The 15,720-nt window shown below is 41.7% G+C and overlaps 1 protein-coding gene across 2 annotated transcripts in view, besides 1 other annotated feature; it reads right to left on the bottom strand.

Moving 5' to 3' along the window:
• Positions 1 to 15,720, bottom strand: part of UCK2 (uridine-cytidine kinase 2) — an 84,005-nt gene that overhangs the window by 22,155 nt on the left and 46,130 nt on the right. The window contains exon 2 of one of the 2 annotated variants that reach the window (NM_001363568.2): positions 4,085 to 4,322. The exons of the other annotated variant lie outside the window; for it this stretch is intronic. Coding sequence (NP_001350497.1) covers positions 4,085 to 4,120 — 36 coding nt within the window. The 5' untranslated portion in view covers positions 4,121 to 4,322. The remainder of the gene's footprint in view (positions 1 to 4,084; positions 4,323 to 15,720) is intronic. 2 annotated transcript variants of the gene reach the window in all.
• Positions 7,043 to 7,142: an enhancer, noted in NCBI's record as "active region_2022". NCBI's record gives its function as "activates an Ori minimal core promoter by ATAC-STARR-seq in GM12878 lymphoblastoid cells {active_cell/tissue: GM12878}" and the evidence as "EXISTENCE:reporter gene assay evidence [ECO:0000049][PMID:35858748]".

Genomic DNA, 15,720 nt, shown 5'->3' with positions numbered 1-15,720 from the left:
ACAGACAAAAAAGGCAGCAGAAAGTAGAATGAAGGCATGGTGATGATGTGCTGAGGGGCTACAGGGCCTTGGAATCACAAGGTGACTGCACATCCATGGAATGCCACTCAGCCCCTGCACATCTCTTTATATCAACGGAACCAAAAACCATGGCCAGAGAGCTCAGCTAGTTAGCAAGAAGGCTATGCTCACAGCGTTAATCCTACTTCTGTTGGTTACTTTTGCTCCAGTCCACAGCCATGACTTCACATCTACAGTAAACCAGGTGGCCTTTTCACAAACGTGTGTCACCACAGACAGGGTGACAAGGAACACAAACACCACCAACATCTAAAACAACTTAGGAGTATCCCAAACAAGAGTGGAGAAGCCAACTCCAAATGAACTCAAACCTACATGCTTTGTGTGTTGTTGTTAGTAATACATGTATCCTAAAATTTAAAAAAAAGAAAAACAGATAGTAATACATGTGTCTGCCCCTTTTTCCCTTCAATATACTCTTCGTAAAAGGAACATTATGAAACAAGTGCATTCAATAGAATGAGATAGTGAAGGATTGTATTTATCAAATAACTGATTTCTTTTTTCATTTCATACAAAGACTAATGTAAAAATAAAAATGTCTGTATTACACAAGCTGTAGGAGACATAACCCAAGTCTTCTAATGAAACTGATTGACCTGCCGGGCACGGTGGCCCATGCCTGTAATCCCATAACTTTGGGAGGCTGAAGGGGGTGGATTGCTTGAGGTCAGGAATTCGAGACCAGCCTGGGCAACACAGTGAGACCCCATCTCAAAAAAAAAAAAAAAAAAAAAAAAGAAGAAGAAAGAAACTGGTCAACCGAATAAATAGAAAGGAAAAACAGCATATTTAGGCCAGGCAGGGTAGCTCACACCTATAATCCCACAGTTTAAGAGGCCAAGGTGGGTGGATCACCTGAAGTCAGTTTGAGACTAGCCTGGCCAACATGGTGAAACCCTGCCTCTACTAAAAATACAAAAATTAGCCAGGCATGGTGGCACATGCCTGTAGTCCCAGCTACTCGGGAGGCTGAGCCAGGAAAATCGCCTGAACCCAAGACACAAAGGTTGCAGTCAGCTGAGATCGTGCCATGTACTCCAACCTGGGCAACAGAGTGAGACTGCATCAAAAAAAAAGAAAAAAGAGAAAAGAACAGAACAGAACAGAACAGAAAAACAGCATATTTAGAGGTTTGATGACTCAAATCTTAGAAGTTTTACTATTGAATTTATTTCATCAACGATTTTAACAACAACAACAACAAAAATATGAAATCTTTTAAAGTTACAATTCTTATAAAGTTGTGTTTGATTGCCCTGAGCGTAAGGAAAACTGGCCATTCCTGTTGCACAAGTCAGTGCAAACTAAACAGCTCTGCAAAATACGTCCTGTTATACAAGCTGTGACACACGACTAAGTAAGGATCTTTGGAGGAACAATAATATTTTGACTCAATTATTTGCAAACAATTTATTTCGCCTTCATGATACTTTTGCATATTAACACAGAAAAACATTTAAAACTACTCTGGACTTTGGGACCACAGATCCTCCCATGCCCCAAAATATCACAGAACAGTAAAACTTTCATATGATAAACTAGATTCAAAAGTGAAAATGTTACAAAACCAAGGCTCTCTGGGTGCTACAGATGGATGGGTGGGGGGGGAAATCAAAGGCTCTAAGCAATTATAAACTATAGGTTTTTAAACACCTGTAGGCCCTCAATTTCCTTTTCCTCCCAGGCATCTATCTTAGGACGTTTCTTACGTCCTAAGGTTGTAGGAAGATAAAGTCTGCAGCCTTTATTAGTAGATAGAATTCCTCCTAGAATTCCAAAGAACAAAAACAAAAAAGTGATTCACGAAGCCAAATGTATATTATCTAGTTATTCAAATTGTGATATTTTTATTTATATTTAAAACCCATAAAATGTTTTTAATGTAAATAGCAATCCCATCACCATCAAAAAAGCATATTAAAAAGTTACACTACCTAATTTTGCAGATAAACTACTGTTTCCCTTAACCCAGCACAATCTAGGACAGAACCTGTACAATGGCCAGTAAAATGGGATAATGAACATACAGTAGGTGCAATTCTAGAAAATCAGCGCTCATCCCAACCCTTGATCAATGATACAGTATGACTAATTGTGTTGATCCCCCGCTGCATGTTTCAGTCCTGTGTTTTCAAGGACCTGGCTGGTGACCCTTCCCTTCCACAAACACACTACCACTGCTAACAGTGTAAATGATTACTTATTAGGCAGCAGTCCCTGTGCCAAACACTCCATTATGACCACCTTTAGAAGCCACATGTGCTCTCCTACATGGATGAGGAAACCAAGTTAAGTAATGTGGTTTCATAGAGTCCTGGCTCTTTACCTCAACCTTAGATAGTAAGAAGTCCCAAGGCAGAAGAAGCCCTTTATCAGGAAGGAGATAAATAAAATTGCACAAATAAGCAAAGAAACACCTGCCTCTAGGTTAATCTAGATTGTTCAGGCATTTTCTTCCTCCTGGGCCATATTACAAATGGGCCCTAAAAAATCCGGATAACTGTTGAATCTGGCTGACATGTACATAGGGTTTGGTTATATCATCCTCTCTATTGTTGTGTAGGTTTGAATTTTTACCTGGTAGGGAAGAAGGCAGGGAGGGAAGGAGGAGTCCCACAAAGAGACTCTACTCTGCCCTGAATAAATGCTCTTTCGCTTACTTAACACTCACCTCTGTATCTCTTTCACTATCATCTCTGTGTTCTCCTTTTGCCTAATCCTGCCCCTCTCTTCAAAAGGATGAAATGGAGCTCTGAGGTGTCATCTTGTTCCTTAAGAATAATTCAGCTGGGCACAGTGGCGTGCACCTATAATCCCAGTGACTTGAGAAGCTAGGGCAGGAGGATCACTTGAGCCCAGGAGTTCAAGCCCAGGGTGGGCAACACTGTGAGACCCCACCTCTACACAAATTCAGAAATTATCTAGGCATGGTGTTTGTGCCTGTAGTCCCAGCTACGTGTGGCAGGCTAAGGCAGGAGGACTGCTTGAGCCCAGGAGATCAAGGCTGCAGTGAGCCATGATCATGCCACTGCACTCCAGCCTGGGCAACAGAGCAAGACTCTATCTCTAAAAAAATAAGAGAGAAAAAAAGAAAAGAAAGAGAAATAATCCACCAATAACCAGGGTTTGAGAAGGCAGGCAATCCTGAGCCTATAGAAATCTAAAATGGGAAAGGGTACAACTGTTACAGTGGGCTAAGACTTAACAATTATATTAATAGTCACAAAAAGACAAATACCATAGGATTTCACTATGCAAAGTGAAATGCACTATGCAAAGTCAAATTCATAGAAACGGAAAGTTAAATGGTGGTTGCCAGGGGCTGAGGGGAGGGGAAAATGAAGAGTTGTTGAATGGATTTTATATAATGAAAGGGTTCTGGAATTTGGTCATCCAATAATGTGAATATACTCAACACCACTGAGATGTACACTTAAAGACGGTTACGATGGTAAATTTTATGTTATGTGTATTTTACCACAATTAAAAATTATTATCACTATAATAAAAGCCCCATTTCTTTCTATATGCTAGGTACTGGGCTCAGCACTTTAAAATGATCTCATTTGCATACCACAAGCTTATGTGATGGGAATTATTATCATATCCACACCACTGATGGCAAACATAGAGGCAAAGAGAGGTTGAATGGAGCCAGGATTCCCACTCTAGCCGTCCATCTCCAGTGCCTAGACACTTAGTGGCTGCAGCTGCATAGCGCTGTCTCACAGGCAAACTGACACTGCCCACTGGAGCGTGAGTTCAGCTTCATTTTGTATAATATCTCTATATTTAGTGAATGAATCCAGAATATATTCTGTCCCTGCCACTTCTAACACATTACTGAAATTGGAGTCGGGAGGGTTAAAGGTCTGCTAGGACTGTTGGGTGTTGTCCAAATACAAAGTTAGGTGAAGGTCAATACAAGGTATTTTAAGAAAGGAAAAAACAAAATCTATGGAACAAATCAGTGAAGGTGATTCACAATTTCTTTACTTACATGGCATTCTGAAGACATTATCTCATTTAATTCCATTACAACAAGTATTACTTTGTCTTCTTTTTTCCTAATGAGGAAACTGGAGCTTAGAAAATTGATCACGTGAAATGATTTGCTCAGTCCCAAAGCTGAGTCTCAAACCATAGGTCTAACTCCAACTGCACAATTCTTTTCACTATTTTAGAACATAAGCCGCTTTGGCATTCACCCCGATGTTCTCCATAAATGTACTTTACCTCTGGAAAACAATGACAGGGGAAGGGAGACAGGGAGGGAACTGATGAGAAATATAATACTGTTTTGTCCCACTGCATCACTAAAGTCAACATTTATGTTGAACTTCATAGAACTAAAGGCAGGCAAGTGATGTGCCTATTAAAAGGAAGCTAAAAGCTCACCAAGAAAACCTGTTCTAGAAATGTTTATTATGTTCAAAAGAATCCAGCTGTTAGGAGCCAGGGTCCACTAGACATGCTGAACAATGAACTCCTTTAGCAGAGACTTCCCATTTGGGAAGCCCCAGTGGCAGTAAACAGCTCATCAACAGGCCCCTTCGGCTGGCAGTTTCCAAAAGGGCAGCTGTTGAGCCAGCATAGGTTCCTGTATTGCTACACAAAGGATATTTCTCTAAAATCGTTCTCACCCTGGAGGTGGCTCTGACAGCCTAAACACAATCTTACTATGTTAGTTCTAGTGTGTGTCTTCCAGGAGCTAATCCATAAAATCCTCTTGCCCAGTTCCAAGACCACTGAATAAATAAAAGAAAACAAGCAGGGTAATCAGCTCTGTCGCCTCTTTGTCATATACCCTCCACTACACTTCAGTGCTCAGAACCTGACATAGCCCAAGCCTGGACAGCTCAGAACAATTCAGCCCTTGGGAGGGCGTCGGGTTAGGTGTGTCCCTACGGGAATGGGCTGGCACACCTCACAGTCATCCTTACAGAAGAAGACCAGATAACCATGCTGCCCAACATTTTTGAATCCCATCAAGATGTCTGTTGTAACACTCCGAATGAGCTGCTTCAGAATCACAGGGAGGGCTGCTCAGAGGGAAGAAAACTTAGCAACCACAGCCAATCGGCTCCAGGTTGAGGCACACTGATTGATCATTTCCTCCCTGCTTTTCAGGACGGGAAACAACATCACAGCAGAGAAGAATGCTTGAAGGCCAGACGCTTGGCCTCCTCAGGCAGGAAGATCCCATCTAGCTCCTTGGCTCTGGGACTATGTGTGGGTCACATCAATTACTCTTGGCAGTAGCTTTCCCTGTCACTATCATAAAGTAAGTATCACCACTAGCTTATATGGTATCCATCTCAAAGGAAAAAACCATTGCAGCCCCCAGACATTACATCACTCCTTTGCGGGTAGGGGTTGCTCCCCACATGGCTCAGAAGCTCTAATTTACAGGCATTAGAAAACCAAAGCACCAGTAATTTGCCCTGGTTTAAAACTAAGAACAAGGTTCAAACCTGCTGGCTCAACTTCCAATCCAACTGATTAAGTGGCACAATAGAGAGGTGTCACTCAAATGCTTCCCTGGAATATCTGCAAAGCCATCTATTCTTTTCTTTTTTCAGCAGCAAGATTTATTGTGAAGAACGAAAGAACAAAGCTTCCACAGCATGGAAGGGGACCCAAGTGGGTTGCCCTAGGCCATCTATTCTTGAAGTCATGCATGGCCCCAGAGCCCATGCATTGCTGACTAGGAGCTCCTAGCTACAATACAATCACCACCACCCACCCATGCCACCACATACAGGATCTAAATTAAAAACTCACTAAATTACTAATAAGGTTCTTCAGTACCAAAAAGCAGCCATGGGTCAATCAAATAACTGAAGAGCTTTTGGAGCACAAGGACCAATAGTGTGACTAAGTTTTTATTCTCAGGCACCTGGACTGGGGGGTGGGGGTGTGTCTCCCAAATGTCTGTTAAATAGAAATGTCAAAATTTATCAGAAGTCTTTTTTGAAGTCGTAACATCTTAGCTCACTGCAGCCTCGAACTCCTGGACTCAAGCCATCAGTCCTTGAATTTTAGCTGGGCACACAGACTGCATTTTTCAGCCACCTTTGCAGTTCCTCATGACTATGCAACTGTTCCCTCTTTTGACATTCCTTCCTGTTGACTCAAATGAAGACCTGATAGCTGAAGCTCAAGCAGCCACCTTGCAGCACTGCTATCATTCTAACTAAGGATGGGAGAGCAGCTAAATAAAAGCCCAAGATTCAAATAATTAGAGCTGAGAGCCATTAAGAGTGAGTGCTTCACACCCGTAATCCCAGCACTTTGAGAGGCCGAGTCAGGCAGATCACGAGGTCAAGAGATCAAGACCATCCTGGCCAACATGGTGAAACCCGGTCTCTACTAAAAATACAAAAAATTAGCTGGGTGTGGTGGCACGCGCCTGTAGTCCCAGCTACTTGGGAGGCCGAGGCAGGAGGATCGCTTGAACCCGGGAGGCAGAGGTTACAGTGAGCTGAGATCATGCCACTGCACTCCAGCCTCGTGACAGAGCGAGACTGTGTCTCAAAAAAAAACAAAAGAGTGAGTGTTAAGGTCTGAATGTGTCCCCCCAAAATTCACACGCTGAAATGCTGAAACTTAACTGCTGATGTGATTGTACTAGAAGGTAGGCCTATAGGAGGTGATGAGGGCCCTTATGAAAGGGCTTGAGGGAGTGGATTCATTCTCTTCTGCTCTTCTGCCATGAGAGGACACTGCATTAGTCCCCTCTAGAGGATTCAGCAACCAGTTGCATCCTTGGAAGCAGACAGCGGCCCTCACCAGACACCAACCCTGCCAGTACCTTGATGTTGAACTTCCCAGCCTCTGGAATTGTGAGAAATAAATTTCTGTTCTTCATGAATCACACAGTGTCAGGTATTTTGTTACAGCAGCACAAACATTCTGAAATAATGAGGTACACTATCTTTAAACCCTGTTTTAGAGGTTTTCTGTCACTTTCAACAGAAGTGATACTAATACTGAGGTCAACACTCACATAACCAGCACACCTTAGTATATGGCTCTTGGTAGAAACGTTCTCTTGAAAGCTGAGGAAATCCTTTGTCCTGGTCCAACAGGCTGCCTTAATTATCACAGGAACCACAAGTAACTTATCAGCCAAGTCATTTCCATGTGAGTTTTAAAGGGTAGGGTGATGAACATACACCTGAACCAGTGTCCCCAGACCACTGCTCTGTCACCTGCCGACCTCCAGATATTTACCCAGAGGTGTTTCTTCCCCCTTTCGGCACCTGTTTGTGCCACAGACCAAGCTCTCCGTAGAGAAAGTAGTACCCAGGAGAGGGAAACCCACAAGGCTATTAACAGTAGAAGATGAAAGATTCCCCACAACAGAAGCTCCCAGTTTTAATTCCTGATCCATCTGTTGGTGCCGCAAAGGTAGTCCAGCCTAGAAAGATGCAGATGTTAGACTGCGTCTGAGAGATCTTCTGGCTGATCAACAGTCACCAACATAAACAAGTTCCTAGGACTTTTCCCTGAAGTGCCAATCTCATTAAGCTCTATTACTAGAAAAGACATTTGAAAAATTCACTTCTGGGTTTATGTAATTACATGTTTGGCTCTGCTCTTTAGACTCACCAGCACTTGGAAATTAAGTGGTTCAAAATTAACTGAGTGATGATAATAATAGCTAACACACAGAACATGCTATATGTCAGGAACTATTCTAAAAGCTTTACATATACTTGGTTATATTTAATCCTCAAATCAACTCTATGAAGTGGGTATTCTTATTACCCCTATTTTACTTTACATAAGAAGAAACTGAGTCAGAGAAGCAGATTAAGTGACTCGGACCAAAGTCAAACGTCTGAAAAACAGTTGAGCCTGTCTTCAAAGTCAGATGGGCTGGCTTCAAGATGCATGCTCTTCGCCACCACACAGTAGAGTAAGCAGTAGAGTAAGAATCAACATTTCTACCCTCATGCCAAGTAACAAACTTACAGTGAAATTGATCAAGATAGAAAACAAACAAACAAACAAAAAAAAACCCTGAGTAAGTACATATGAGGACAGGGGAGAATATAGTACAAATACTCTGACTATAACCATGTAAAAGATATAGGTAAACATGACAGAGAAAATCTGGAAGGCAAACTGGCCAAAAATGAGAACTATGGTTCTTCTACATCATCTCTTTTTTTTTTTTTTTTTTTTTTTTAAGTTTTATTGAGACAGAGTCTTACTCTGTCGCCCAGGCTGGAGTACAGTGGCGTGATCTCAGCTCACTGCAACCTCTGCCTCCCAGGTTCAAACAATTCGTCTGCCTCAGCTTAACGAGTAGCTGGGACTATAGGTGTGCACCACCACACCCAGCAAATTTTTTGTATTTTTAGTAGAGACGGGGTTTCAACATGTTGGCCAGGCTGGTCTCGAACTCCTGACCCAAAGTGATCCACACGCCTCGGCCTCCCATGGTGCTGGGATTACAGGCATGAGCCACCACGCCCAGCCTGCTACATCATCTTAAACAAAAAGGCAGAGAGGTATCTACACTGCTCATGTGAGACCAAGTTCTAGGCTCACCCAGAGCCTGGTTAACAGCTACCACCAAGCAAAGACAAAACAGGGCTATGCTTGAGATTCAAGGGGCAATGTATCCCTCGCAACTGAATTAAGATTATTCCATATAGAATAGTGATTAATTTCAGTCTTTATTCTAAGCCTGAATATGGAGTCTATGGATCCTACTTTGTATTTGTCCCCACAGGACAAACACAAAAGACATCACACACACACACACACACACACACACACACACACACACACACACACACCCCCAAAAAAAACTGAATGGATCTAGGCTTGTTGCTAACTTTGGTGAACTGCTGCTTATGATGCCCTCTCCAAGAAGCAGAAACAAAGAGGAGACCTGCTGGAAGACTAATTATTACTGACTTGTGGGTGCAAGTGAGGCTGGGTCTATTTCTTTCCCCTTTTACTTGAGCGTTAAGAGGCAAGTTGGGATAGTGAAAAACAACAAACTGGGCCCCTTGTCCTGGGTGACACACCAAAACCCACCCACTTGCTAGGGACCTGTTTACTGAGCAAAGATAATATGCTTATTACAGAAATTATGGACTGAAAGAAAGAACTGAAGTCCTTCTGGGTATGAGACACAAAACGAAAGCTGACTTTCCTCCGTTCTTAAAAAACTGAATAGATCAAGAGAGCACAATGTGCCAGTTGGATCCTCTGCCGAATCTTTCCAAATTGCAGGCCGCACATGAGTAAACATTTAATGTGGATGTAACAGCACAACAGTGCTTTGTTGTACAAAGTATATTTTAGTTAACTCCTCCATCCAGTAATCCTTATCTAAACTGGAAAATCAGAAATCAGACTGTCTAGTTATCAAGATTTTTAACATTTTCTTCTTAATTTCTCCTCCAGCACCCACATCTAATGCCCAAATACAGAGCAACAGGGGAAGGAAAGAGAAAGCAATGCCAAGCACCCACTTCCGTTCCTTTTTCAGAGTCTCTTTCACATCTTTGAAAACTAATCTTATTATTTATTCTTCATAGCATTTGAAGAAAGGGGTTCAAGTCCTCTATTGGCTGTCTCAATTCCCTCGACTGTTCCCTTCTAAGTTTTGCTGAATTCGTCATTCATCACTACCATCTCCAGGGCCCCAAAACTCCAAGAATCAAAAAAGAGAAAAGAGAAAAGAACTCCCAAAGCCACATAGACCACGTTACTGTATAAGGAGGAGTAAGTTCATCACACTGGAAGTCATCATAAATTTTCAGGGCTAATCTACTACTGACAAAATAATAATAATAATAATAATAATAAAAAGCAAACATCCTTTGAATATAATGATTTTCTTTTATTAATTTGTGAAACTGGCAGAACTATCAGTAGATATGGGCCAAACTCTTATTTCAGACCCACGCAAATATGAATAACTGATATGACAAAGATGCAAATGCAATTCAGTGGAGGAAGGACAGCCTTTTCAAGAAGTGGTGCTGAAGCAACTGAATGGATATCCATCGACCAAAAAAATGAACCTCAAGCCAAGCATGGTGGTCTGCTCTGCAAAAGATCCTGACAAGAGAATGACAACAAGATACAGGCTGGGAGAATACATTTGCAAAAGGCATGCCTGATAAGAGGTTGTTATCCAAAATATAACAAAAAATAAAAACACAAAACTCTTAAAATTCGACAATAAGAAACAAACCTAACAAAAAATGGTCTAAAGACCTTAACAGACACTTCACCAAAGAAGACATATAGATGACATATAAGCATATGGAAAGATGTTCCACATCTATTGTCATCAGGGAAATGCAAATTAAAACAAGGTACCACTACATACCTATTAAAATGGCCAAAATGTAGAACACTGACAACACCAAGTGCTAACAAGGATGTGGAGCAACAGGAACTCTCACTCATTGCTGGTAGGGCTGCAAAATGGTATAGCCACTTTGGAAGACAATTTGGCAGTTTCCTGTGAAACTAAACAGTCTTACCATACAATCCAGCACCCATGTTCCTTGGTATTTACCCAAAGGAGTTTAAAATGTATGTTCACACAAAAACTTGCGCATGGTATTTATAGAAGCTTTATTCATAATTGCCAAAACTTGGAAGCAAGCAACCAAGATGTACTAAAGTAGGTGAATGAATAAACTGTGGTACAGCTAGACAATGGAATGTGATTCAGTGCTAAAAAGAAATAAGCTGGCAGCCGGGCACGGTGGCTTACGCCTGTAATCCCAGCACTTTGGGAGGCCAAGGTGGGCAGATGACGAGTTTAGGAGATCAAGACCACTCTGGCCAACATGGCCAGAGGGGGTTTCACCAAACCCCGTCTCCACTAAAAATACAAAAATTAGCTGGGCATGGTGGCACGCACCTGTAGTCCCAGTTACTCAGGAGGCTAAGGCAGGAGAATCGCTTGAACCCAGAAGGTGGAGACTACAGTGAGCCGAGATTGCGCCATTGCACTCCAGCCCGGGTGACAGAGCAAGACTCTGTCTCAAAAAAAAAAAAAGAAAGAAAGAAATGAGCTGGCAAGCCATGAAAAGACACTGAGAAACCTTAAATGCATATTGCTAAGTGAAAGAAGCTAATCTGAAAAGGTCACATAATGTATGATTTCAACTACAGTATATGACATTCTTAAAAAGGCAAAACTATGAGGACAACAAAAAGATCAGTGGTTGCCAGGGGTTAGGGGAAAGGCAGGGATGAATGGGCAGAGCACAGGGGATTTTTTAGGGAAGTGAAACTATTCTGTATGATGCTATAATGGTGGATAACATGTTATCATACATTTGTCCAAACCCACTCAATGTACAACAGCAAAAGTGAACCCTAATGTCAACTATTAACTTGTTGATAAGGATGTGACAATGTAGGTTCATGACTGTGACCAACGTACCTCTCTGATGGGGGGTGTTGATAATAGGGGAGGTTGTGCATGTGTTGGGCCAAGGGGAATCAGAGAAATCTCTATCTTTTCCTCAATTTTGCTAGGAACCTAAAACTGCTCTTTAAAAAAAGCATATTAAAGAAGATAATAAACATGCAACTAAACTACCATATGATCAGGCAATTGTACTGATCCCACAGAAATGAAAACATAGTCACACAAAAATACATACACAAATGTTCATAGAAGCTTTGTTAGAGCCAAAAATTAGAAGCCACCCAGATGGCCTTCATTACGCCGATGGTTAAACTACGGTATATCCATACAATGGACTATTACTCAGCAATAAAAACGAATGACTGCTGATACAACAACCTGCACGAATCTCCAGAGAATTGTGCTGAGTAAAAAAGGGCAATTCCAAAAGGTTACATACAGTATGGTTATATTTGTATAAAATTGTGGAACGATTAGTGGTGGACCACGGTTAGGGACAGGGAGCAGTGGAGGGGCGGGAAATCCGGGGCAGGTAATAAACAGCAAAACAGCAGTAGCGATGGAAGTGTTCTGTATCTTCACTGTATCAACGTCAACATCCCGGTGTCTTTTGTAATATGGGATCTCTCTGTATTATTTCTTATGTGTTTGTGAACCTACAACTATCTCAAAACAAAATGTTTATCTAAAAAAAAGATTAGCGACTATCCATCTTCTGCCATTTGTCTTTTTATTTATCCCAGAGGTATAGCTTCTCACTTTTCAAAATTCTTAATTTTTCCTCACAAAGCAGTGTTAATAATTAATTGGGATGAGATGAATGCATTCTGCACACAGGACAAATTTTGGGGGGGTCAGTGGACCATTTATAAGTGAGTTACATTGTTGCCCCCCAAAATCTACGATCATATTCTAACTCCCCCAACCTCAAAATATGACCTTATTTGGAAAAAAGGTCTTTGCACATGTAATTAAGTTAAATATCTTGAGATGAGATCATCCTGAATTAGGGTGGGCCCTAAACCCCATGACATGTGTCCTTCTAAGAAACAGAAAAGGTGAAGACACGGAGACATGAGGGAAAGCCATATAAAGGTGAAAGTAGAGACTGGGGTGATACAAGAAATGGCAGCAGAAGCTGGGAGACAGGACGGAGGCATGGGTCTCCTTCAGATCTTCCAGAAGAGGCCAACACTGCCCACACCTAAATTTCAGTCTTACAGCCTCCAGCACTATAAGAGAATGAATCTGTCATTTTAAGTCATCAAGATTGTAGTAATTTGTTACTATAGCCATAGAAAACTAATACACCTGTCACTTTTTTAATGGGTATATTGAATTTCTTTTTTTAAATCACAGAGGATGTACTTTCTTCAACTTTTATTTATGTACACTCCTGTACATACATTGTTTTTATCTCCTTACAGAGGATATATGTCATAAAGATGTATCATTGCATTTTACAAACTTGTCCTGCAGAATTTTTCCTGGTGTTTTCTGTTTGCTCTAATGGTAAACTGTTGCTATCTGGAATATAGGCATGTCTACCTAATCAAATATCCTGGTTAATAATTTATCATACTTACTAAATACTCAGAAGTAAAACTATACTGAGCACAGGACTTAATCTACTGTTTCCTTGGTGACGAAGATGTCACTTCCAGATCCAGTGGTGTGCTTCAGGGTCTTCAAAATGAGTAGCAATTACTAGGCTGCAGATGTGTGAAACTGCCATTTAAGAGAGGTGTTGTGTTTCCATAGAAATGCCCAATAAACTTCTGGGCAAGATAGATTTTAAAAAGCAAGAGGATGAAAACTACCCACCTACTACAATGTCCTAAAAAGCAAAATATAGGTCCTTGTGGTGTTATGATTTATAATGGTTTTCAACCAGGTTCCTGGTCCATAACTCCCACAGCCCTTGTTACAGTCTTTTGTGATAATGTTGGGTCAGGAAACAGAATCTCTTTCCTGCCTTCCTTTCACCTGGCCCGAGGCAGGAATCTAATCTTTCCCCACCTTTCAGATTGTGGGTCTCAAACCCTCCCCTGAGAGGGCTAAGCACTGTAGGAAGGAACGTTTCCAAAAAACCCAAGAAAGCTGGGTACAGGGAGTTTCCGGATAGCTGAACACCTGGAGGTTCCTGGAGGGTGGCACACAAGGGAGGGGTTGGAAACTCCGCACCTCTTTCCCCATGCCTTGCCCTGTGCGTCTCTTCATCTGTGTCCTTTGCAAAATATCCTTTATAATAAACCAGTAAACATAAGTGTTTCCCTGAGTTCTGTGAGCCACTCCAGCAAATTAATCAAACCCTAAGAGGGGGTTATGGGAACCTCGACTTGAAGTCAATCAATCAGAAGTTCCAGAGGCTCAGGTTTGCATGTCTGCAGGGGGCAGGGGCAGTTTTAGAGACTTGAGTTTCCAACCTGTGGGATTTGACACTATCTCCAGGTAAATAGTGTAGCAAGTAAATTGGAGGACACTCAACTGGTGTCTGTGCCTTGCTGTGTGAGGAAATCCCCCCTCTCTCACCACAATCGGTCACAGAAGTCTTCCGTGTTAACTGTTGTGGTGTGAGAGTAAAGGAAAAATGTGGTTTCAGAGAGTTTCCCTACATAGTCCTTTAAAGTCAGGCTGGGCAGGGCACACAGGACCTGGCTTGATTCCTGACTCTAACATACCAGTGATATCTCGGGCAACTCAACCTCTTAGAACACTGGCATCCTTGTTTTAAACTGCAGGTAACCATACCTGTTCCACAAATGGGCCATAAGTGTTAATAAGCTACATGCCTAAGATAGTGGCTAGCACAAACTATATGTTCAATAAAAATTATTCTCTTCTTTAAGATCCACCAAATTTTCATTTAGACAAATCTTTCCAGGAAAGTCCATTAGGAAGCTTTTTTTTTTTTTTTTTGGTAACTCAGTTGAAAACTTCATCAATTCATGCCCATTAGTTTTATTTTCTTCACGTCTATAAAACGGCACAAAACTACATTATCATACTATTAAACCACACTACACAATGAAAACAACACACTAGTGTTCATACATTATGTACCAGGAAAGAAAAAGCATCCATTTCCTTAAGAGTTAGTGTTCCTGCCACAGCCACCTAAGAAAACACCAGGGCAAAGGACAGCACCCTCTTCTAGAATGCCCAAGCAACTGCAATGCCTTTCATGTCCTCGGTAAAACAAATCTTCCATTTTAACAACCTATAGATGGAAGAAAAGGAATTCTTACGTTAAAAAAAAAATCTTCCTGTTTTATGGCAGAGGCACCTGATAGCCATAACTGAAGCATATCCTAAGAATGAGAAGAGTGTTGGTTTGGAGTTCCAGGCTAAGAAATCTGAGAGTGGCCAACCTGGAGATTCAGTCTTTGTCTATTAAAGACATCCAAATCCCTGCCCTATCCCTTTTAACGCAGGGGATGGAGACCTTTGTTTTGGGAGGCTGCCAGGGGGAGGATGCTAAATGAAAATGCTATATGAGCTACATGTTTTTTACAAAAGGTAGCAGCATGCTTCCTGCCAAGCCCGCTGCCACTGGACGGCTCTGTACGTGAGTCCCCCAAATAAACCCTATGTCTCATTTGATACCTCCGGGTCTTTTCTTCAGTCTCTCAAACATGGTGTCATCCCTATTGGAGTCAACAGGGGTCTAGCATAACATCTATAAACAATCAAATCACAAAGCATTCCCTCAAGAAGCAGGCTGGGTGGCCCAGGAAATGGCCCAGGTGATTGTGGAGCCCAGAGAATCAGTGCTTATGAGGGCAGCATCAAGTTCCCATCTACCCCTGTCTCTTTTGTTTTTAAAATAAAAGTAGTAGAGAAGTAAATTCATAAAATAGAAGGTTGTCCTCAGAGGATGGGATGCATGAAATTAAGGTTATGGAGGACTGCAATTACTGGTAATGATAAGGTCTAAGGTAGAGGGAGACAATGGCTAAAGTCATTACCTATGTTTACACTGAAATTGCCAAGAACTAAAGGAAGCAGTGATACTGGAAAGAAAGAGACAATAAGGTAGGAGATAAAATCACAGAGAAATAGCTCAGGAGTAGTGAGTGGCTCTGGTGATGTGAGATCCAAAGCTGGTGTTTTAGGCAGGAGGGAGGGAGGGAGAATGGTTTGAAAGAAATAGGAAGTAAGAAGGAAGCACCACCCCCCACGTCTCGGCACTAAGGCCCAAAGATAAGCAGCAT

Source organism: Homo sapiens, chromosome 1, assembly GCF_000001405.40.
Source record: "Homo sapiens chromosome 1, GRCh38.p14 Primary Assembly".
Taxonomy (NCBI): Eukaryota; Metazoa; Chordata; class Mammalia; order Primates; family Hominidae; genus Homo; species Homo sapiens.
This window is presented reverse-complemented; position numbering and strand designations above follow the sequence as displayed.